General features: G+C 57.1%; 3 protein-coding genes across 4 annotated transcripts in view, besides 5 other annotated features; 2 read left to right on the top strand and 1 right to left on the bottom strand.

Moving 5' to 3' along the window:
- CORO7-PAM16 (CORO7-PAM16 readthrough) overlaps positions 1–11,165 on the top strand; it is a 76,346-nt gene extending 65,181 nt beyond the window's left edge. Inside the window, exons 28-31 of the mRNA NM_001201479.2 lie at positions 8,125–8,209; positions 9,912–10,048; positions 10,431–10,496; positions 11,011–11,165. Of these exons, the coding sequence (NP_001188408.1) occupies positions 8,125–8,209; positions 9,912–10,048; positions 10,431–10,496; positions 11,011–11,097 (375 nt within the window). The 3' untranslated portion in view covers positions 11,098–11,165. The remainder of the gene's footprint in view (positions 1–8,124; positions 8,210–9,911; positions 10,049–10,430; positions 10,497–11,010) is intronic.
- Positions 95–11,165, top strand: PAM16 (presequence translocase associated motor 16). Its single transcript, NM_016069.11, has 5 exons — positions 95–184; positions 8,125–8,209; positions 9,912–10,048; positions 10,431–10,496; positions 11,011–11,165. The coding sequence occupies exons 1-5, from the start codon at positions 182–184 to the stop codon at positions 11,095–11,097; spliced, it is 378 nt and encodes a 125-aa protein (NP_057153.8). The 5' UTR covers positions 95–181; the 3' UTR covers positions 11,098–11,165.
- Positions 3,567–4,067: an enhancer, noted in NCBI's record as "H3K4me1 hESC enhancer chr16:4397350-4397850 (GRCh37/hg19 assembly coordinates)". NCBI's record gives its function as "activates a minimal SCP1, AML or CMV promoter by ChIP-STARR-seq in naive H9 embryonic stem cells {active_cell/tissue: H9 hESC(naive)}" and the evidence as "EXISTENCE:reporter gene assay evidence [ECO:0000049][PMID:30033119]".
- Positions 6,282–6,482: a silencer, noted in NCBI's record as "peak2471 fragment used in MPRA reporter construct". NCBI's record gives its function as "represses an SCP1 promoter by STARR-seq MPRAs in K562 erythroleukemia cells {active_cell/tissue: K562}" and the evidence as "EXISTENCE:reporter gene assay evidence [ECO:0000049][PMID:32103011]".
- Positions 10,382–11,127: an enhancer, noted in NCBI's record as "H3K4me1 hESC enhancer chr16:4390290-4391035 (GRCh37/hg19 assembly coordinates)". NCBI's record gives its function as "activates a minimal SCP1, AML or CMV promoter by ChIP-STARR-seq in naive H9 embryonic stem cells {active_cell/tissue: H9 hESC(naive)}" and the evidence as "EXISTENCE:reporter gene assay evidence [ECO:0000049][PMID:30033119]".
- Positions 11,128–11,874: an enhancer, noted in NCBI's record as "H3K4me1 hESC enhancer chr16:4389543-4390289 (GRCh37/hg19 assembly coordinates)". NCBI's record gives its function as "activates a minimal SCP1, AML or CMV promoter by ChIP-STARR-seq in primed H9 embryonic stem cells {active_cell/tissue: H9 hESC(primed)}" and the evidence as "EXISTENCE:reporter gene assay evidence [ECO:0000049][PMID:30033119]".
- GLIS2 (GLIS family zinc finger 2) overlaps positions 11,821–21,867 on the bottom strand; it is a 24,835-nt gene continuing 14,788 nt past the window's right edge. For both annotated transcript variants that reach the window (NM_001318918.2, NM_032575.3), the window contains 6 exons: positions 18,964–19,201; positions 17,897–18,069; positions 16,439–16,615; positions 16,223–16,356; positions 16,023–16,141; positions 11,821–14,691 (listed from right to left, as the gene is read on the bottom strand). In NM_001318918.2, the coding sequence (NP_001305847.1) occupies positions 13,892–14,691; positions 16,023–16,141; positions 16,223–16,356; positions 16,439–16,615; positions 17,897–18,069; positions 18,964–19,135 (1,575 nt within the window). In that variant the 5' untranslated portion in view covers positions 19,136–19,201 and the 3' untranslated portion in view covers positions 11,821–13,891. The remainder of the gene's footprint in view (positions 14,692–16,022; positions 16,142–16,222; positions 16,357–16,438; positions 16,616–17,896; positions 18,070–18,963; positions 19,202–21,867) is intronic.
- Positions 21,848–21,867: part of an enhancer, noted in NCBI's record as "H3K27ac-H3K4me1 hESC enhancer chr16:4378569-4379569 (GRCh37/hg19 assembly coordinates)", that runs on past the window's edge. NCBI's record gives its function as "activates a minimal SCP1, AML or CMV promoter by ChIP-STARR-seq in naive H9 embryonic stem cells {active_cell/tissue: H9 hESC(naive)}" and the evidence as "EXISTENCE:reporter gene assay evidence [ECO:0000049][PMID:30033119]".

The following is a 21,867-nucleotide window of genomic DNA, read 5'->3' as shown; positions in this document are numbered from 1 at the left end:
CCCGAGCCGCTAAGACGCTCCCGGTGGCCCGCCCTTAGACTGAGGCAATGCGCATGCCCAGCGCCGTATCGCGCACGCGCTCTCTGCGGCTTTCCTTGACCTCTGACCCGCCGACCACGCTTGATCCCCGGCCGCGGGGCCAGGAAGTCGGAGTTTGAGCCCCGGAGGCAGAGCGGCTGCCATGGTGAGCCCCGAGTCGGGCGCTACCGGGGAGGGGAAGCCGAGTCGGGCCGGGGGCCGGGGGCCGGGCGGCGAGCTCCGGGCTGGGCGGCGGGCGCCGTGCGCCCCCTGCGTGCCCGGCGGGAAGCATGGTCTGGGGGCGTTGCACCCGGGGGAATCGAGGCCGGCAGCGGCGGCACCGGCGGCCTCAGGGCCAGGGAAAACCGTCTGCCTGGAAGAGGCCGGGCAAACGTGGTCGCGCTGTGCCTAGCCCGCGTGTGAGCGAGCAGCCGTGGGCAGCGGTGGAGCATGAGTCTGGCTGGTGAGCGCCTCCCCTGCCCTGGAACCTTACAGCGCTGCAGAGTCGATGTTGCTGCCCTGTTGTTATCCCCAGTGGAAAGCTGGCCTTTCCAGGGAAGTGGCTGACCTGGGACTTGAACTAGGCCCCGAGACACCGAGCACGGAGCGTTTGTGTGATATCGTTGGCACGTAGAGCCAGTCAACAGACCTGCGCCACACTGTCAGGTCACCTAGGGTAGCTTTAAAAGTGCAGGTTTGGCTGGGCGCGGTGGCTCACGCCTGTAATCCCAGCACTCTGGGAGGCCGAGGCGGCGGATCACGAGGTCAGGAGTTCGAGACCAGCCTGGCCAACATGATGAAACCCGGTCTCCACCAAAAAATTTAAAAAATTAGCCGGGTGGGGTGGTGCGCGCCTGTAGTCCAAGCTACCCGGGAGGCTGAGGCAGGACAGACGCTTGAACCCGCGAGACAGAGGTTGCAATGAGCCGAGATCCGCCAGTGCACTCTAGCCTGGGCGACAGGGTGAGACTGCGTCTCAAAAAAAAAATTATATATATGTATTATATATACCGTATACATTTATGTATACTACATATTATTATGTTATATATATTTTTATATATCATGTATTTTATATATATATATACACACACACACACATAATATATACATATGTTAGCCAGGCATGGTGGCACACACCTGTAATCCCAGCTGCTTGGGAAGTTGAGGCGCCAGTATCGCTTGAACCCAGGAGGCAGAGGCTGCAGTGAACCAAGATTGTGCCACTGCACTCCAGTCTGGGCGACAGGGCAAAACTCTCTCAAAAAGAAAAAGAGGGGGAAAAAAAAAGTTCAGGTTCTTGAGCTCTATCCCTGGAGGTTCTGCACACGTAAGTTCCCCAAGTGACTCTGTTGCAGCTGGTTCGGGGAGCCACTTCTTAACTAACATAGTAATAAGGATAATGTAACAGCTAACGGCGTACAAGTGCCAGCCCCTGAGCTAAGGCTTTATGTAGAGTCTCTCATTTAGTGTTTATGAAGTCCTGCTGTCATTGTCCTTATTTTACAGATAAGGAACCTGAGCCCCAGACAGTTTTGACTCCACCATAGTCATGCATCCCATGGTGTCAGAGACCTCTTTTGAGCCCAGCTCTGTCCCAAAACTCATGGGGTTTTTTTGGTTTGTTTTTTGAGATAGGATGTCTGTCTGTCGCCCCGGCTAGGATGCAGTGGAGCGATCCTAGCTCACTGCAGCCTTGAACTCCTAGGCTCAAGCCATCCTCCTACCTTAGACCCCCAAGTAGTTGGGCCTACAGGTGAGTGCCAGCACACCTGGCTAATTTTTAAATTTTATGTAGAGGTGGGGTCTTGCTGTGTTGCCCCAGATGGGTCTCCTAGGCTGGAGTACAGTGGTACGATCACAGCTCACTGCAGCCTCAACCTCCTGGGGCTTAGGTGATCCTCCCATTTCATCCTCCCCAGTAGCCTCAGCCTCCCGGGTAGTTGGGACAACAGGCATGCTCCACTATGCCCAGCTAATTTTTTGTATTTTTTGTAGAGATGCAGTTTCGCCATGTTGCCAGGCTGGTCTCAAACTTCTGGGCCCAAGCAGTCCTCCTGCCTCGGACTCCCAAAGTGCTGGGATTATAGGCGTGAGCCACCGCACCCAGCATGACAGTATATTAACAGGAAAAGAAAGTGCTGGCCGGGCACGGTGGCTCACACCTGTAATCCCAGCACTTTGGGGGTCTCAGGCGGGTGGATCACGAGGTCAGGAGATCAAGACCATCCTGGCTAACATGGTGAAACCCCGTCTCTACTAAAAATACAAAAAATTAGCCGGGTGTGGTGGCAGGCACCTGTAGTCCCAGCTACTCAGGAGGCTGAGGCAGGAGAATGGCTTGAACCCGGGAGGCCGAGCTTGCAGTGAGCCGAAGGTCGCGCTACTGCACTCCGGCCTGGGTGACAGAGCAAGACTCCGTCTCAAAAAAAAAAAAAAAAAAAGAAAGTGCTAGGCCGGGTACGGTGGCTCACGCCTGTAATCCCAGCACTTTGGGTGGATTACCTGAGCTCAGGGGTTCGAGACCAGCCTGGGCAACACGGTGAAACCCTCTCTGTACTAAAAATACAAAAAATTAGCCGGGCATGGCAGCGTGTGCCTGTAGTCCCAGCTACTCAGGAGGCTGAGGCAGAAGAATTTCTTGAACCCGGGAGGCAGAGGCTGCAGTGAGCCGAGATCGCACTACTGCACTCCGGCCTGGGCGACAGAGCAAGACTCCATCTCCAAAAAAAAAAGAAAGTGCTGTCGGAAGGTATACATGGGAGAGCCTGGAAAGGGTTTCACCCGGGGGATGGGGAATGATATTAGGTCCTGAGGGATGTTGGGTTTTGACAGGATCAGGGTAGAAGGGAGGATGTTCAAGGTGGAGGAACTCAGAACAGCAAAGGCCCTGAGGAGTACAGAAGTATGAGAGCGGCTCTAGGAGCAGAGGGTGTGGCTGCAGCGTGGAGAGAGGTGAGGTTGAGAAGTTGAGGCCAGACCAGGCGCTGTGAATGCCAAGCTGGGGAGTGGACCAAATCTGCAGGCGGCGGTGGAGAATTGTGTGTTTACTGGGAGATGGCCAGAACCCTCCCGCAGAAGGGTTAGGAGGCGCTTGGAAACCCTGCCTGGGGACATGGAGTTCATGAGACAGCAGATTGGGCAAAGCTGCAACAGCCATATTCATTCAGATGCACCAGGGGCACTTACTGCGCCAGCCACTGGCCAGGTCCCTGATGTTGTGGCACGTGCTACAGTTGTGGTCCTGACCTTTCTCCTGTCTAGTTGTGATGCCCGTATCTATTCTCAGGGGCCCTGGGTGACCAGAGTGTCCTTGAGAGTGAGTCTCAGGCTGTCTGCTTATCTACCCAGAGCCTGGGGCTTGGCCTCAAAGGCGCATTGCACGCGAATCTCAAAGACACAAGTCAGTGTAAGCCCCATTGCTGAGTGCCTCCCACAGCACTGTCTGTGGTCCCAGCTGCTGGGATCTGGTCCTGCCTTGGGCCAGGTTGCTGCCCAACAACGAAGTGCACATGCTGCCCCCACGCATGCCAGGATTGGATCCTGTGCTTCTGACTGCTGCTCTCTGACAGCCGCGTGGCCTGAAGTTGGATGCCAAGTCAGCTGGGTCCTCTCACCTGGGACCCTCAGGCCCAAGTGTCAGTCGGTGGACTATGGGATGTTTGGAGCCTCTGGGAGGGGCCTCAGGCAGTGGTTGTTTTGGTCACCCATGGTAGCCACAGCTGGCAGAGCTCTGCTCCCTGTGAATGAGCTCTGAACTCAGCCTGACCCATGGCAGAAGCTCAGGGGATGTTGGGGTACTGGATAGGTGGATGAGGGGCTTGCCTGCACCGCCTAGTTCTGGACCTGCCGCTGTTTGTCCATGTGGTGTTAATGGGCATTGCCTCCTGAGGGCCTTACTGTCCTCTTGTGAGGAGGGTGTTATTCTCTCCATCTTGCAGTTAAGAAAACTGAGGTAGGCTGGGCACAGTAGCTCACACCTGTAATCCTAGCACTTTGGGAAGCCGAGGAGGGCAGTTCATGCGAACCTAGGAGTTCAAGACCAGCCTGGGCAACATGGCGAAACCCCATCTCTCCAGAAAAGTACATTTAGCCAAATGTGGTGGCGTGTGCTCAGCCTCCAGAAGTTATGAAATTTCCACCTACTTGTGAAATCCTAACCCACTTGTGTTTGTTCATTCCCCTAATGGCCCATATCACATCCCGCCTGTTAAGGAAAGAGCAGGTCCTCGGAGGCTGAGTACAAGTAGCTCCAGCTACTCGGGAGGCTTAAGCAGGAGAATCTCTTGAGGCTGGGAGGCTGAGGCTGCAAGTGAGCCATGATTGCACCACTGCACTCCAGCCTGGACGACAGAGTTAGACTCTGCTTCCAAAAAAAAGGCCAGGTGTGGTGTCTCATGCCTGTAATCCCAGCACTTTGGGAGGCCGAGGCGGGTGGATCACCTGAGGTCAGGAGTTTGAGACCAGCCTGACCAACATGGTGAAACCTCGTCTCTATTAAAAATACAAAATTAGCTAGGCTTGGTTGTGTTCACCTGTAATCCCAGTTACTTGGGAGGGTGAGGCAGGAGGATCGTTTGAACTGGTGAGGTGGAGGTTGCAATGAGCCGAGATTGAACCACTGCACTCTAGCCTGGGTGACAGAGCGAGAGTCAGTCTCAAAAAAATAAATAAAAAATAAAAGACCCAAACCAAAACAAAAAAAGATTCAGAGAGGTTGAGTAATTTGTCCAGGGTCACACAGCTATTGAGAAAGAAAGCTAGGGTTCTGGTCCCAGGTCAACGTGGTTCTCGTTCTGCTTCCTTGCTGCTTCCCAGCTCCCTGAGGGAATGTAGTATGGTGTTTTGCAGCCTTCACCCCTGAGGAAGCAAAGGGCCTGTATCAAATGAGCTGCTATTTTGAAAGAAGCTTTGTTACTTCATAGTGCCTGGTCATTGTCAGATTTTGTGAAACAGTAGTAATGAATGAAAACCAATGTTTATTGAGCACCTGCTGTACCATTAGGCTGTGTGCCAGGCATTTGACAGGCATTATCTCAGCTTTATTGGTGGCCACATTTTACAGGTAAGCAAACTGGGTTGCTCAAAGGAGTTGAGAACGTGTCTATGTCAGATAGCTGGGATTTTTGCACACAGGTGATCCCAAAGCCTGCAGGTGTAACCATTACACTACACTGCGTCTTCTCAGAGATGCCTCCTATAGGAACCTTGCTGGCCTCAATGGGCCGTCCAGTCTGCTGAAACTTTGCAGGCCAGCCCCCCTCTGCCCTGCAGCTCTAGGCAGCTGAAGCCACAGGCCACCACGCCGCTTTGGTTTGAAGTGTGCAGGGGATGGTCGGGGAAGCTCCCCAGTTATGACCTCAGCTCTTACCGTTCATTATTTTGCAACAGTCATTGGCCTTGGCAGAAAAGTAAACAAGTGATTGCAAGGCTGTACGATGGCAGCAGAGGGACCGAAGGCTGTTGGTGTGAGGGGTAGTCTGAGACCTGAGCCGTGTTTCAAGCCGAGGGGACCCTCTGACTTTCACCTCTGTCCTTCAGACAGCACCAGCATCCCATCCCTGAGCCTCCTGTTCCACTCGGGAGGGGCTTTAGGAAGGAGGCGAAGTCAGGTGAGACCGCAGGTGTCATCAGGTGCATCCCTGACCCTCCCTCATCTGCAGTACAGCCACAGCCCTGCCCCTCGCTGTGATCACAGGAGGGTCTTCTCTGGGCTCTTTCTGCTGTGAAATCCAGAAGTTATGAAGTTTCCACCTACTTTTGAAATCTTAACCCACTTGTTTGTTCATTCCCCTAATGGCCCATAATGACATCCCACCTGTTAAGGAAAGAGCAGGTCCTCGGAGGCTGAACAAGGCCAGCTCTGGAGTCGAATCCACTGGAATCTGGAGCAAGCCCCTCTGGCCTCGGGGTTGGGTTCTTGATACTTGTCGGCTTGCCCAGGTGCCCTACCTTCAGACCCCGGGACCCTGCGTAGTGACTGCTGTGACAGATAGCACCAGCCTTGGGTTTCCGATCTGCCTCCGAGGCACCTGCTGTTACGTCCTCGGGCCAGTCAGCAGTCCCCCACCCCTGAGTTGTCAGAATTAAACGGCACAATGAATTGAACGTGTTTGGCACCGTGCCTGGTGTGTGGACTCAGTTGATACTTGTTGACTGAAGGCAAATCTACAGAAAAGCACTAGGAAGAAAGGGAAAGTCACTCGGCTGTGCCACATGAGCTTTCAACCTATGCCGAGCTGCCTCCAGCCCGCGCCACCCCCCTGCGTCTACGGCTTTGCAGTCACAAGATCCTTTGTATGTGCTGTCTATATATAATCGCTTTGTTTCACAAAGATCTGTGCATCTTTCCATGTCATCCGCCAGATTCCCAGTCTTTCCCAGGCCAGCCTAGGCTATTGGCTGCTCGCAGGAACTCCCTTCTGCCTTCTCTCCTGCCAGTTTTGGCTCAACCCAGTCCCTCTGCCTAGAAAGCCCTAGTATTTCCATCATGATTCTTCCTACCCTGCAAAGCCCAGCCCAGGAGGAACCCCCTCCTCTCACGGAACCCCCTCCTCTCACAGAACCCCCTCCTCTCACACAATCCCCTCCTCTCACACAATCCCCTCCTCTCACAGAACCCCCTCCTCTCACGGAACCCCCTCCTCTCACAGAACCCCCTCCTCTCACGGAACCCCCTCCTCTCACGGAACCCCCTTCTCTCACGGAACCCCCTCCTCTCACAGAACCCCCTCCTCTCACGGAACCCCCTCCTCTCACGGAACCCCCTCCTCTCACAGAACCCCCCCTCACACAATCCCCTCCTCTCACGGAACCCCCTCCTCTCACAGAACCCCCTCCTCTCACGGAACCCCCTCCTCTCACACAGTCCCCTTCTCTCACAGAACCCCCTCCTCTCACAGAACCCCCTCCTCTCACAGAACCCCCTCCTCTCACACAGTCCCCTCCTCTCAGAGAACCCCCTCCTGTCACACAGTCCCCTCCTCTCACAGAACCCCCTCCTCTCACACAGAACCCCCTCCTCTCACACAGAACCCCCTCTTCTCACACAGAACCCCCTCCTCTCACGGAACCCCCTCCTCTCACAGAACCCCCTCCTCTCACACAGAACCCCCTCCTCTCACAGAACCCCCTCCTCTCACGGAACCCCCTCCTCTCACGGAACCCCCTCCTCTCACGGAACGCCCTCCTCTCACACAGAACCCCCTCCTCTCACCGAATCCCATCTCAGTCTTGAGTTTTCCCTCGACTCTGTTGCTTCCGCTCACATCTTAGTGAGTCCCCAGGGCCTCTGCGGGGCATGGAATCACACGTGCAGTGTTCCGGCATGTTCAGCCTGGTGTGTGACAGTGGGGTTCCCTGCCAGGCCAGCAGTGTGCTCTGACTCGGGGCAGGGACCAGGTTCTGTGTAGCTTTGTGCTCAAGTGCTGAGCAGAGTAGACTCTCAGCAGATGTTTGAATGAATGGGTGAACCAATGGCTGCACAAATGAACGAGCCTGACTCTCCCTCATGATTTGGTCCATAGTGTGTTTAAATACCCTCCTAGTGGGCTTTTAGCTCCTTGAAGATGGAAACAGGTTTGCATAGTAAGTTTGTTTTATTGAATGGAATGGACTTAAAGTCTTCGGACTTGGGAGAATTAGGACAGATCTGTTTCCCCGTTGGTAAAGTAAAGGTTGGGCCTGATGATCTCAGAAACTCAGGAAGAGTGATGGTCGGCCCCAGGGTCGAGAGTGAGTTACTGCCAGGTCCAGGGCTGTCCCTGTGTTCTGGCTCCCAGACCACAGTGTTTCTTCCTGAAGCCGGTGGTTGCAGCCACTTTGCCTTGCTCCTCTACGCCTTTCCTGAAGGATGAGGTGGGGCCAGTCTGCCTCTGGGAGCTCGGTCAAGTTCACCCGCCTGCCTGCCTGTCCAGTGAGTAACTAAGCCACCCACCATGGAAGCTTTCATTCAGGGTGCTTTGGAGGGGTTGGCCTGGGGCTGCAGCTCTGTGCTTCATGACCTCGGGTCTCCGGGAGCCTTGCCCCTCGGCAGCCGTTTCCAGGGCCCATCTCTGTGGGCCCACAGGGAGTGGCCTGCTAACCGGGTGCCTGCTTTGCCCACAGGCCAAGTACCTGGCCCAGATCATTGTGATGGGCGTGCAGGTGGTGGGCAGGGCCTTTGCACGGGCCTTGCGGCAGGAGTTTGCAGGTAAGCATGGGTCCGTCTCCCCTGTGGGCTGGGAGTTCCTCTCCAGGTCAGATTTTCCCCGTAGCCATGGGCACCTCAGGCCTGGCGGTTCTGAAGTGTGCGTGGCCTGAGGCACTTCCCATGGTGGGGGGTGATGCCAGACCGGGGCATTCTTCAGTGGTACCTGGTTAGCAAGAGCATCCAGGGCAGGAGCTGGCACACTGGCCCATCTGGATACCTGATTTTGTAAACTTGTTTTTTCTTTTTTTGGAGATGGAGTCTCACTCTGTCGCCCAGGCTGGAATGCAGTGGGGCAATCTTGGCTCACTGCAACCTCTGCCTCCTGGTTCAAGTGATTCTCCTCCCTCAGCCTCCTGAGTAGCTGGGAATACAAGCACCCGACACCATACCAGGCTAATTTTTGTATTTTTAGTAGAGACGGGGTTTCACTATGTTGGCCATGCTGGTCTGGAACGCCTGACTTCAGGTGATCCGCCTGCCTCAAAGTGCTGGGATTACAGGTGTGAGCCACAGCGCCCGGCCCTGGTTTTGTAAATAAATCTTTTTTTTTTGAGACGGAGTTTTCGCTCTTGTTGCCCAGGCTGGAGTGCAATAGTGCGATCTTGGCTCACTGCAACCTCTGCCTCCCGGGTTCAAGCAATTCTTCTGCCTCAGCCTCCTGAGTAGCTGGGACTACAGGCATGCGCCACCATGCCCGGCTAATTTTGTATTTTTAGTAGAGACGGGGTTTCTCCGTGTTGGTCAGGCTGGTCTTGAACTCCCAACCTCACGTGATATGCCCACCTCGGCCTCCTGAAGTACTGGGATTACAGGCGTGAGCCACCGCACCCAGCCCTTTTGTTTTCTTTTGAGACGGAGTCTCACTGTGTTGCCCAGGCTGGAGTGCAATGGTGCGATCTTGGCTCACTGCAACCTCTGCCTCCCGGGTTCAAGCAATGCTCCTGCCTCAGCCTCTCCAGTAGCTGGGACTACAGGCATGTGCCACCACACCCAGCTGATTTTTGTATTTTTAGTAATTTTGTATTTTACAGGTTTTCATCATTTTGGCCAGGATGGTCTCGATCTCTTGACCTCGTGATCTGCCCTCCTTGGCCTCCCAAAGTGCTGGGATTACAGGCGTGAGCCACTGTGCCCGGCCGACAGGCTGCTTTCAAGGCAGAGTTGAATGGTTCCAGTGTAGGCTCATTAGCCCGCAAAGCCTAAAATAGCTACTCTCTGAGCCTTTAGGAAAAGTTTAGCAGCTCCTGATTCTAGGTTCTGGGGTCACTGAAAGGGGAGAGGTCACCCAAGGCAGTGGCTTTGGTGGTCTAGGTGACAGGTGGGCAGCTGGGCCCCTGCAGAGCCCTCTCATGCCCGCAGCCCCACTATACAGTCTCCATCGTAGCCTAAAGCTCCCCAATTTGCTGTTCCCCTGGGATATGGGGGTTGGGGGACAGGGTCATCTCATGGTCTAGGTTGGGGACCAGGAGCCAGGATTAGCGGTCAGATCCTGCCCTTACCCTCCAGTGAGGCACGTCTGTCCTCACTTTCCCAGCCTCTACCCCCTAAAAAGGAAACCACTCCTGGAGAAGAGGCAGCTCCTAGCCACCTGTCCCTGTGTCTCTCATCCTGTGCTGGTGGCAGGGGTGAGCCACCAACTCGGAAGGCCCAGGGTGAAGTGTGGGCTGCTGAGGACTGAGCGATCACCCACATGTCCACACAGCCAGCCGGGCCGCAGCTGATGCCCGAGGACGCGCTGGACACCGGTCTGCAGCCGCTTCCAACCTCTCCGGCCTCAGCCTCCAGGAGGCACAGCAGATTCTCAACGTGTCCAAGCTGAGCCCTGAGGAGGTCCAGAAGGTGAGGCCACTGGGCCACCCCAAAGTTTGAGAGGGAGAGGCTGCCAGGGTGGGAAGAGTGAAGGGAGGCCTGGCCAGGGAGGTCCGATGTGGAGGCTGCAGCTGCACCCAGCTCGGACTCCAACTTTCGGGAGCCACTGTTGCTCGTGAAGTTTTAGGCCTGAGGCAGGACAGTCTAGAGACAAAGAGTGCCTTCCAGTAGCAGCTCAGTTGCCCTCCAGGGTACCCGTCCCCATCTCTGCCTCTCAGTGGCCACAACAGCTGGGTGTGGCACACAGGGTGGAGAGGAGTCCTGTTGCCTCTCTCACGTGGCCCCACATAGCCTGCCCAACATCTCTTGCCTGCAGTCTGCAGCCCTCTCACCCGTCCCCTCTCCTCTGCAGAACTATGAACACTTATTTAAGGTGAATGATAAATCCGTGGGTGGCTCCTTCTACCTGCAGTCAAAGGTGAGTGGTCTTTGATTCTGGGAGGAATGAAGTCATGGGACCCCTTCTTCTCACCTGGGGCTCAATTCCTAGTTGGGGGAGCTGGCCAGCTAAGGGCTTGGCACACAGAAAACTGTGCCAGGCTTTCCCATGGTGCCCCAGCCTCAGGGAGGCCCCCTGAACTGCCACCCCTCTGACTGCTTCAGCTTTGCGGGGTCCAGCCACTCAGGCTGTGTCACCCCAGATAGAGCCCTCCCTCCCAGCAGCTGGGACTTCGAAGGAGCAGGAGCCCCCGTGGGTGGGGTGCTAGAAACAGCTCTCAGCTCACAGAGGTCACAGCATGCGCTGGGCCCTGCAGCCCAGCTCTGTCTCCCCAGGCCACCCCGACCCTGGGGTGCCACTGAAGGAAGCATTGGTATCCACCCACTGCCCTTCAAAAAATGGACCTGGGCTGATGGGAATAGGCCATCCCATGTGGGCAAGGGGTATGGGGCGGAGGCTTGGCCTCCCGGCCTGATTATCCGTGACCCACTAGGTGGTCCGCGCAAAGGAGCGCCTGGATGAGGAACTCAAAATCCAGGCCCAGGAGGACAGAGAAAAAGGGCAGATGCCCCATACGTGACTGCTCGGCTCCCCCCGCCCACCCCGCCGCCTCTAATTTATAGCTTGGTAATAAATTTCTTTTCTGCATTTCTCGTTTGCATGTGTCCAGATTCCAGAAGGCAGGTTGCTCCTCCTGCCGGTTGCAGGGCTGTGGGTGCTGGAGATGGGGAGGCAGCAGCCTTTAACAGCCCAGAAGGGCCGGGCTGGGTAAGGTTGGCGGGCAGCCAGCCAGTGGGCTCCAGCTGAGTCCTGTCACGTACAGGATGCAGCCGCTCCTGCTTCCACAGCACCCGTGCCAGGGTGAGGCTCCCTCCCATAGCGCCCCTGCCCCTCCCACGGGGTGGCGGTCTCCTGGCCCCAGAGCTCTTGTCGGCAGCCACCCTGTCCCTGGGGCAGGTTTGAACCTAGCACCTCAGTAATCTGGGCACAGTACCCCAGAATGTGGCTGGGGGGAGAAGGGCCTTTGCCCACCACTCTCCAAAGCCGCAGCGGGCAGTAGTGGGCTGAGGACTTGGACCTTGGGATGCTCCGCCTGGAATCTTCTGTCTCAGTTCCTGTCACCTGTGCGCCCTCAGCACCTACCTCCTTCCCAACCTTCCAGTTCCTGCTCTAAGCGGCAGATTGAGAGGGAGGGGCACCTGCAGGGTCGGGGAGAAAGCCCGGATCAGGCCTGCAGGGGCTCAGGGCAGTGGTGGCCTCATGTCAGGGCCGGGTTCCTGGCACATCCACGACATACAAGCCATCTTTGCAACTCACTTTTATTGTTTCTTTATAAACTTCCTCTCCCATGGAGGAATATATTGTTATAGTCATTAGCTTATCTCTTTTTTTAAAACTCTATGCTAACAGCAATGGAGCCAAGAGGAGGAAAACATAAGCTACGATAGAAAGGCACTTAGAACCTGTTAAAATACTGACGTCCTGGAATGTGCAACAACACACCAATGACAACCACAAAAAGTACACCGGCCCTGCCGAGCCTGGTCCGTCACCGAGTCGCATGCTGAGCTCGTCGGCCTTCCAGTGCCCTGTTCCTCCGCTCTGCTCAAGTCGCAAACCCATGACCCCGCCAGGGACTTAAGGCCTGGGGCCCTCACAGGGGTGGGGGGTGCTCAGGGCCTGGGTGGGGCCCGAAGAAAGGAGACCAGCTCCCTCCTACCTTGCTCATAGCCCCTTCGAGGGGCAGAGCCAGTGTGGCTGGGCCCTGTCAGGGCTGGAGTCCAAAGCCCAGTGGCAAGGTGGGCCGGGTCAGGGTGACCCCTCTGGGACAGAAGGGCAGTCCGGGAGAGGGTGGGGTCAGCAGAGCTGCCAGAGGACCTGCAGGGCCACTAAGGACCCCAAGGCTGTCCGGGCAGCTGCCTCGTTTTACAGATGGGGAGGTGGAAGGGCCTGGCCACTCAGAGGCCTGGTGACAGGGCAGGCCTAGAAGCCAGAACTCCCAGCTGCCAGGTGGGAGAGGGAGCAGGGAGAGGCCCCAGATGGGGGGTGCATGGCTGCGTCCATCCCTCAGGGCGTCCTGGGATGGGACTGGGGCACAAGGCCCTCCAGCACCACCCTTAAGTGGTTCTGGCCCCTGCCAGGGTCCCTCTGAGTGGCACAGAACCTGGGGGGGCCCACTGGGTGTTAGGGGTGGGGAAGTGCCTCTGAGAAAGCGGCCCAGCAGGGAAAAGCCAGAGGAAGCAACGTGTCATGGGTCCAGCACCCTCCTCCAGCCACTGCTTCCCTCAAGGCCTTCAGTCCACAGCCTCCAGAAAGCTCCCAACACAGCACTGACTGGGAGCCCCCTCCCCTGCATGCTGTCACTTGGAGCCCCCAGACCAGGAGCTGTGTCCCAGCCTGTGGTCGGTCGTCCCCAGCCAGCCTCCCCCTTCCTGTTACAGGACCAAGGACCCAAAGGCCTCTGCAGGGGGCGCTGCCCAGGCCAGGCCCAGCGGGGGTAGAAGGAGGAAGACGGGGCGCTGGGCCTGGCCCCACATGCTCCCTGAGCCAGGGCCCAGGTCACTCAGTATCTTGGCACCACAGCTGGCCTGGCACCTCCCCTTGCCAGCTCAGGGGCCCTCGGACCTGCTTCCCACGCTCCCAGGGTGCCCCAAAAGGTAGAGGGAGGAGACCCTGGGGTGCAGGGGTGGAGTGGCCAGCTATCCCGTCTGGTACTGCAGGCCTGGCCTGGGGTGAGGACGGCGGCTGCAGAGCGGGCCTCCTCCTAACTAGTGGGAGGCGCCTTGTCCTGGGGGGCATGCTTCTACCTGGGGCTTTGCAGGGGCCTGCATCTGTCTTGCTTTCCCTCTGGAGGCAGGGTCAGAGGGAAAGGGGTCCAAGGAGCCCCCAGGGCAGGGGCTGGGTAAGCCTAGGAGGGAAGGGCAGGCCTCTGGTCCCTGGGGGCTCCTCTCAGGAAGGGGGAGCCTGGTGCTAGCAGGGAGGGCAGATGCCACCCCACCCACCCCCTCTGCTGGGAGAGGGCAACTTGCCATGGGTGGTCACTAGGTGAGGGAGGTGCCAGGGTGGGAGAGGGAAACGGGAGGAGGTCGGGCAGGGGAAAGCCTCTCAGAAGCTGAGGGCCAGGTGGTGGGGGACAGACAGGAGCGAGGCTTCAGCACCCAGGAGCACAGCTCTCCCTGCATGACAGGCCAGGTCCCCACCCGGGGGCTGGGAGGCCAGCCATGAATGACCTAGCACCATCCTTGCTCCCGGCGGGCTGGGCTGGGGCTGCCCGGGCAGTAGGACATTATTGCTATTTCACAGAAGAGTTTCCGTTCGTCGGGGGCAGTGCCGGGAGCTGCCGGGGGGGCACCACAACTGTCCGCAGGATGGGCTCAGTTCACCACAGCCGGTTTGAGCAGCACCGAGCCCGGCGGGATGACCACCCAGCCAGGGGCCAACGCCTCTGGGCTGCTGGCAGCTGAGTTGACGCCCGTGGACAGGTCCAGCACGGTGCCTGGCAGCAGGGGGAGTCCATCGGGGCTTGGCCGGGAGCAGCTGCTCTCCGTCCTTTCAAGGGGCGTCTTGTGGCCCTCCATGCCCAGGGCCCTGGTGGGCACCGACCCACGCCCCTTCTCCCCCTCGGCCTTGCCACCAGCTGCGCCAGCAAGGAGGGAGACCACAGGCAAGCCCAGTCCGCCAGCCCCAAAGGGCGAGGGCAGCAGCGGGTTCTTGGCCAGATTGAGAGGCAGGACGGGGCCTGGCAGCCCAGGGCCCATGCCCCCCCCACCCCCACTGCCCCCACCGTTGCCACAGGCCAGGGCACTGAGGTCAAGGGGGCCGGGGGCCAGGGGTAGGGGTAAGCCGGGCAGGCCAGGGCCTCCAAAGAGGGCAGCTGGGTTGGGGATGATGATCTGGGCCCCACTGACATAGGGGCCGCCGTCGGGGGCGGGCAGTGGCGGCTTGGGGGGTGGGCGCAGCTGCAGGAGCTCTTGCTGCTCGTGGGACACAAAGTGGCCATGGGCCTTGATGTGCTTGCGCAGTGAGCTGGGGTCCGTGTAGCGCTTGTGGCAGCCGGGCATCTTGCAGTAGTAGGGCTTGTCCACATAGTGGGTGCGCGTGTGCTTAAAGCGGTCACTGGAGTTGGAATAGCGCTTGTTGCAGCCCTCGTAGGGGCAGACGTAGGGCTTCTCACCTGCAGGGTGGTGCAGTGCAGTGCCGCCATGAGGGGTCTCTCCCCTTCCTGGGTCTCACCCCATGCACTCAACATTTCCCCGGGCCAAGCACTCCCTGGGAACATAGATGCCCCAATTCTGGGGGCAGGGGGCATCCCCAGCACATGGCATGAGATCTGCCCCCAGGCAGGGCACAGAGGCTGAAAACTCAGCCTGGTTGACTCCAGCTCTGCCTAGCCTCGCCCTGCACCCTCTGCTACAGAGGATGTGCCTTTCAGCAGCAGAACATGGCCTTGGAGGCCGGGCCCGGTGGCTCACGCCTGTAATTTCAGCACTTTGGGAGGCCAAGGCAGGCAGATCACTTGAGGCCAGGAGTTCCAGACCAGCAGGGCCAACATGGTGAGACCCCGTCTCTACTAAAACTACGAAAACTAGCTGGGTGTGGTGGCAGGTGCCTGTAATCCCAGCTACCTCAGAGGCTGAGGCAGGAGAATCACTTGAACCTGGGAGGCAGAGGTTGCAGTGGGCCAAGATCATGCCACTGCACTCCAGCCTGGGTGACAGAGTGAGTCTGTCTCAAGAAAAAAAAGACACCATGGCCTTGGAGATCACATCCTGGCACGAGGCGCCCAGCGTGGGCCTGGCCACAGGGAGTGCTGCCTGGGCGCTACTGCCCTCACTCAACAAATGGCTGAAGGTTCACCAGGCATCTTCTGCTGCCCTGGCCAGAGCAGGGGGCCACATGTAGTGACTGACCTCCTGATACATGGCTCTCCACCTGGAGATGTGCTGCCAGGGTGAAATAAACACCAGGAAAAAACATACACATCAGCTCCTTGAGGCTTTGTCATGAAATGAAGAACTTCAATATCTCACTGATTTGTCTTTAATAATGAATTGATAACACGTTGGATGTACCGGGGTCAACGAACCATATTACAATTAATTTCACCCATTTATTTTTGCTGTGTTTTATGCAGCGATTAGGAAATGTAAAATTATGTCTGTGGCTCTGACAACCAGAGCTGTCCTGGTATGGGCCTGGGCTGTAGTGAGGAGTGAAGCCGACCTGGCCTCTGCGATCACAGAGGTGGCATTAGTCAGAAGATACCCACGGGAACCAGGAAATGGCATTGGTGCTCCAAGAGCAGGTGCTGGGTGGGGGTCTGACCCCCAGGGGATGCTTCCCCTAGCAAACTGCATTGGAAAAGGGACCCCTGGGCGATGACATCAACCCTTATCTCTGAGGCCCGGGATTTACTTAACAGTCCCCTCCCCCTGGGGACCTGCCCAGCCGGTCTCAGCTGAGCGCCCCCTTCATGGGCCAAGCCGCCCGGCCCCGGCCTCTTACCTGTGTGCGACCGGTTGTGGATCTTCAGGTTCTCCAGGCGGGAGAAGCTCTTGCTGCAGGTCGGACAGCGGTGTGGCTTCTCGTTGGTGTGTGTGCGGATGTGGATGAGCATCTTGTACCTGCTCCAGGGAGGGCGGGGGGCACGGCTCAGCTCACTGGAGACCCCAGTCCTCCCTCTACCCCTCTCTCCCCCACCTCACCTGGCGTTGAAACCTCGGCCATGGCGGGCGCAGCCCTCCCAGTGGCAGCAGTACCCCGCATCCTTCTCGGGCTTGACATGGTAATCGTTGACATGGTCCACCAGGTCTTGCAGGAGCTCAAAGAGCTGGTTACACTGCGGAGGATGGGAAGTGTTCTGAGCCCATGCGGGGTGACCTGCCCCAGACTCCACACTACTCTTGCTGGCCCCCACTCACCTTGGCCCAGCGACACACCAGCTGCTTGGGCAGGGGCAGGTCTGGCGAGAGGCACTTGTCCTTGGGAGGGGTAAGGAAGGAGGAGGCAGGCAGGTGCAGGGCCCCCCCGGAGCCGAGGGGCAGGAAGAACTGGAAGGAGCTGGGGACACCATCCAAATAGCGCAGTGGCTGGAAGTCCTGGGGTGCGAGGGGAGGGCTAGTCAAGGTCCTGCTGGCCCAGAGCCCCCCGTCCCATCGGTAGTGGACTGAATGGTGTCCCCAAACAGAGACATTCAGGTCCTCTTCTCCCCAGCCCCTACCTGTGCATGTGGCCTTATTTGGAACTAGGATCTTTGCAGATGTAATCAAGTTAACATGAGGTCACACTAGATTAGGGTGGGCCCAACACCCAGTGACTGGTGTGTTTTAAATTTTTATTTTCTTAATTAAAAAAAATATATAGCCAGGTGCGGTGGCTCACGCCTGTAATCTCAGCACTTTGGGAGGCTGAGGTGGGCGGATCACTTGACGTCAGGAGTTCAAGATCAGCCTGGCCAATATGGTGAAACCCCATGTCTGCTAAAAATACAAAAATTAGCCAGGCGTGATGGCACATGCCTGTAATCTCAGCTATTTGGGAGGCTGAGGCAGGAGAATTGCTTGAACCTGGGAGGCAGAGGTTGCAGTGAGCCGAGATCATGCCACTGCACTCCAGCCTGGGTGACAGAGCTAGACCCTGTTTAAAAAAAAAAAAAAAAAAGGCCGGGCACAGTGGCTCACGCCTGTAATCCCAGCACTTTGGGAGGCCGAGATGGGCGGATCAGTTGAGGTCAGGAGTTCAAGACCAGCCTGACCAACATGGAGAAACCCTGTCTCTACTAAAAATACAAAAGTAGCCAGGTGTGATGGTGTGTACCTGTAGTCCCAGCTTGGGAGGCTGAGGCAGGAGAATCGCTTGAACCCGGGAGGCGGAGGTTGCAGTGAGCTGAGATCCGGGCCACTGGCCTCCAGCCTGGGCAATGAAGCAAGACTCTGTCTCAAAAAAATAAATAGAGATGGGGTCTTGCTATGTTGCCCAGGCTAGTTTTGAACTCCTGGGCTCAAGCGATCTTCCCACTTTAGCCTCCTAAAGTGCTGGGGTTACAGGTGTGAGCCACCGTGCCCGGCCATGACTGGTGTCTTTATAAGAGAAACCAGAGAGAGATTCGGACACAGAGGGACAAAGACCGTGTGAAGACAGGGCAGAGCCTGGAGTGAAGCAGCTACCAGGCTAGAGTGCCAGGCATTTCCAGAAGCTGCCAGAAGGCAGGAGAGAGGCAGGGAAGGTTCTCCCCTAGAGCCTTCCAGGTAGACTCCAGCCTCCAGAATTATGAGGGGTAACACATCTGTTTTTTAAACCACTCAGTGTTGGGGTACTTTGTCATGGCAACCCCAGGAAACCAGTCCACCCCTCTCTCCGGAACTCTCACCCCTCCTTACCGAGGCACTGGGCACTGGAGGCAGGTCCCCGTTGCCCTGGCGCTCGGGGGACAGCGAGCTGCTGCCATTGGGGGAGTCCAGCCCAGATGGTGGTGACAGGCTGAGGTCCACGAGAGGGGCTGCTGAAAAGCGTCCCTCCACCTTCTCGGGGAACTTGGAGTTCAGCAGGAAGCCTGAGGGAGAGGCACAGTTCAGGGTGTGCTGGAGTGTAGAGTCCCAGTGGGCCAGGTACTCCTGCCTCCGAACCCCCACTGTGACCTTGGGAGCAGACACCAGCCATGCCCCCAGACCACACGAATGTGAGGAGCAGCCTGTGGAGCTGACAGGTGTGTGACACCACCCACCACCTCTGAGCTTTACCAGCCGCCAGAGCTTGGCCCCCGTGAGCCGGGGAGGGGGGAAGTGCCCGCTTTGCAGACGGGAATGGTCTGGCACGCAGGGTTAATAACAGAACAGGACTCGAACCCAGGGCCCCTGGGTCCCTGTCAGACGGGCAGGTAGGAACCTTTCTAGCTTTTCCCAGGCCCCTTCCTGCCTCAGTGTTCCCTTCTGTAAAGTGGCAGGTTCGGGCTGGGCTGCTCCCATAGCCTTCCCCTTCAGACAAGCGGTGAATCTGGTTTTCGGGTGACTCTGCTCTTGGAGGCAGGGCAGAAGTGGTGCCCACCACCCTGGGCCCAAGCACCGGGAATCCCTGAGAGGCACCTCCTGGGCTCAGACCCAGCCTCTACTGCCCAGGTTGGCCAGCGGCACCACCCCACAGCCTAGGGTGCAGGTCCTGGGACTACTGCCGCTCCTTCTGAATGCCTGGTTGCCCGACCAGCTCTGTTCCAGATCTGCCTAGAGGCCTCAGTTTGCATCGTGTGCCAGCCACGTGAGCTGGGCACTGCAGCTCCCACCTCCCTGCAGACATACGATGCTGGGCGGATGGAAGGACAAGCGTGCGGGCTTCCCATGAACCGGAAGCCGAGAGGGGCTGCAGCTACATGCTGGTGGACACACTTGGCCATTCTCCCTGTCACCATGACTGGATCAGGGCTAAGTCCCCCTGCCCTGCCCAGGGCCAGTACCTGAGGGCGGGGAGCCTGGAGAGCCAGGTGTGGGGCTGTCATCCACCAGGCCCAGCTCCCTGTGCAGAGCACGGGGCCGGACCACACCCAGCGTCCTCTCCCGCTTCTCTCTTGCCGCCCGGAGCTTGGTGATACTCAGCTTCAGGTCGAGCGGCTCGTCCAGGGAGTGCATGGTGAGGGGGCCGGAGTTGGAGGTGGCAGCAGGCAGTGGGCTCCCAGCTGGTCTTCACGCAGGAACCTGGGGAAGGACAGGAGCTGTGCTGTGGCACTGAGACCCCAGGCTTCTCCTCGGGCTGTACTCATGACAGTCTAACAGGAGCAGGAGCAGGGGGCAGTGTGAGGTTGTCTCCTGGGTAGGGAGACCCTCCGAGCGACCTGGCCGGCAGCTATCATGGGGGGAGAGCCAACAGCCTCCTCAGAGATTCCGCATCTGCTTCCCATGAGTCTCTTGGGGAAGACAAAGCTCACATTCTTCATTTTGCCATGAAACTGAATTTTATTTGCTGACAGAGTCTCGCTCTGTCACTCAGGCTGGAGTGCAAGTGGCACAATCATAGCTCACTGCAGCCTCGACCTCCTAGGCTCAAGCGATCCTCCCACCTCAGCCTCCCTGGTAGCTGGGACTACAGGCAGGCACCGCTCCTGGCTAATTAAAAAAAAAAATTTTCTTTTTTGTAGAGATCGGGTCTCTCCATGTTGCCCAAACTGATCTCGAACTCCTGGCCTCAAGCGATCCTCCTGCCTTGGCCTCCCAAAACGCTGGGACTACATGCCTGAGCCACCACGCTTGGCGAAACTGCGTCTTTTACAGGCATCGCCTCAGATCGCAGAGCTCAGAAGTGGAAAAACTATCAGATTTGCCAAGACCAGCTCGGTCGGGAGACTAATCCGGCGGCGCTAGAGGAATTAAAGACACATACGCAGAAATATAGCGGTGTGGGGTGGGAAATCAGGGGTCTCACAGCCTTCAGAGCTGAGAGCCTTGAACAGAGATTTACCCACGTATTTATTGACAGCAAGCCAGTCATTAGCATAGTTTCTATAGATTATAGACTAACTGAAAGTATTCCTTATGGGAAATAAAGGGATGGGTCTGGCTAGTTATCTGCAGCAGGAGCGTGTCCTTAAGGCACAGATCACTCATGCCATTGTTTGTGGTTCAAGAACGCCTGTGGCCGGGCGCAGTAACTCACACCTGTAATCCCAGCACTTTGGGAGGCCAAGGCGGGGAGATCACGAGGTCAGGAGATAGAGACCATCCTGGCTAACACGCTGAAACCCCAACTCTATTAAATAACAAAAAAAAAAATTAGCCAGGTGTGGTGGCGGGCGCCTGTAGTCCCAGCTACTCGGGAGGCTGAGGCAGGAGAATGGTGTGAACCCGGGACGCAGAGCTTGCAGTGAGCCGAGATCGCACCACTGCACTCCAGCCTGGGCGACAGAGCAAGACTCCGTCTCAAAAACAAACAAACAAACAAAAAGCCAAACGCTTTTAAGCAGTTTTTCCGCCCTGGGTGGGCCAGGTGTTCCTTGCCCTCATTCTGGTAAACCTACAACCTTCCAGCGTGGGCGTCATGGCCATCATGAACATGTCACAGCGCTGCAGAGATTTTATTTATGGCCAGTTTTGGGGCTAGTTTACAGCCAGATTTTGGGGGGCCTGTTCCCAACAAGATTCAAGGCCTGAAGCCAGATCTCCCGGGAACTGGCTAGCCGTGTCCTAACAGCCTTTTCTGACAGAGCAGGAGCCATGCTCCGGACTCCCGCCCTGTTTGACCCCAAAGATCTAGAACCAGGCCAGGGGGCAAGGAGCATCCTCTGAAATGGCCGGCAGGTAGCCACGCTCACCACCAAGGAACTCGCACCAGGCAAACCGAGAAAGTGGGCACAGCCAGGGGCCCCACCGCCCTCCCTGCAGAGGCCTAGAGGAGAGGCATCGCAAGCCAGGGAGCCCCAGGGCGCTGGGTCGCCACCAGGGGGCAGCTGGGGATTGTGGCCTGGCCTGGCCAGCTGGGGCAGGGTTGGTGGAGTTGACCAGCTGTATCTGGCGGTTAATATATAAATATGTAGAAATTATTTTTTACTGGAGATGGTATTCTTTTAGTATCACTTCCCATGCTGTAATTTTCATCATTTTTCTTAGAATTTCTCACTGGTTTAATTTTCATTTTCTTTTTGGAAATGGAGTCTCTCAGTCACCCAGGCTGGAGTGCAGTGGTGTGATCTGGGCTCACTGCAACCTCTGCCTCCCGAGTTCAAGCGATTGTCCTGCCTCAGCCTCCCAAGTAGCTGGGATTACAGGTGTACACCATCACACCCAGCTAATTTTTCTATTTTTAGTAGCGACAGCGTTTCACCATGTTGGCCAGGCTGGTCTCAAACTCCTGACCTCAGGTGATCTGCCCACCTCGGCCTCCCAAAGTGCTGTGATTACAGGTGTGAGCCACCTCGCCCCACCTGGTGTAATTTTCCTCACATGCAAATGATCTAACAGTATCCACCGACCCAAGAACAAGGTCAACACTTCATTCTAAACCCAAACTTCACATTCAGAGCAGCAATCTTTTCCTACGCGGTTAAACACGACATTTCCTTGCGTTTGTTCATTGGGATTATTACAACTTGAAAATCTAACTGCCGCACAATCACGCTGTGAGATCCCGTCTTTCGCGGTATTGGGGTCTTTACTCAATACCAAAGGGCGGCCATGGTGGACATAACTACTACATGGTGAAATACTTTGGATATGCCCCCGTGTGTTTCCCTGGGGGCTAGCATAGCCTGTGAGTGGGGAGAGATGCTGTCCACAGGGCAGGACAGGAAGGCAGCTCCCACGTCCTCCCCTTCTGCCCTGACTCTCCAAGCAAGTAGGGCATAAAATGGTCCCCCCTTCACTGGAGATCC

This window comes from Homo sapiens, chromosome 16, assembly GCF_000001405.40.
Source record: "Homo sapiens chromosome 16, GRCh38.p14 Primary Assembly".
NCBI lineage: Eukaryota > Metazoa > Chordata > Mammalia > Primates > Hominidae > Homo > Homo sapiens.
This window is presented reverse-complemented; position numbering and strand designations above follow the sequence as displayed.

Excerpts from the sequence above, each read along its gene's own strand:
- PAM16 (NM_016069.11), top strand. Across the intron at positions 10,049-10,430 it reads GCCCTGAGGAGGTCCAGAAG|AACTATGAACACTTATTTAA; the intron begins GTGAGGCCACTG and ends TCTCCTCTGCAG. Across the intron at positions 10,497-11,010 it reads CCTTCTACCTGCAGTCAAAG|GTGGTCCGCGCAAAGGAGCG; the intron begins GTGAGTGGTCTT and ends GTGACCCACTAG.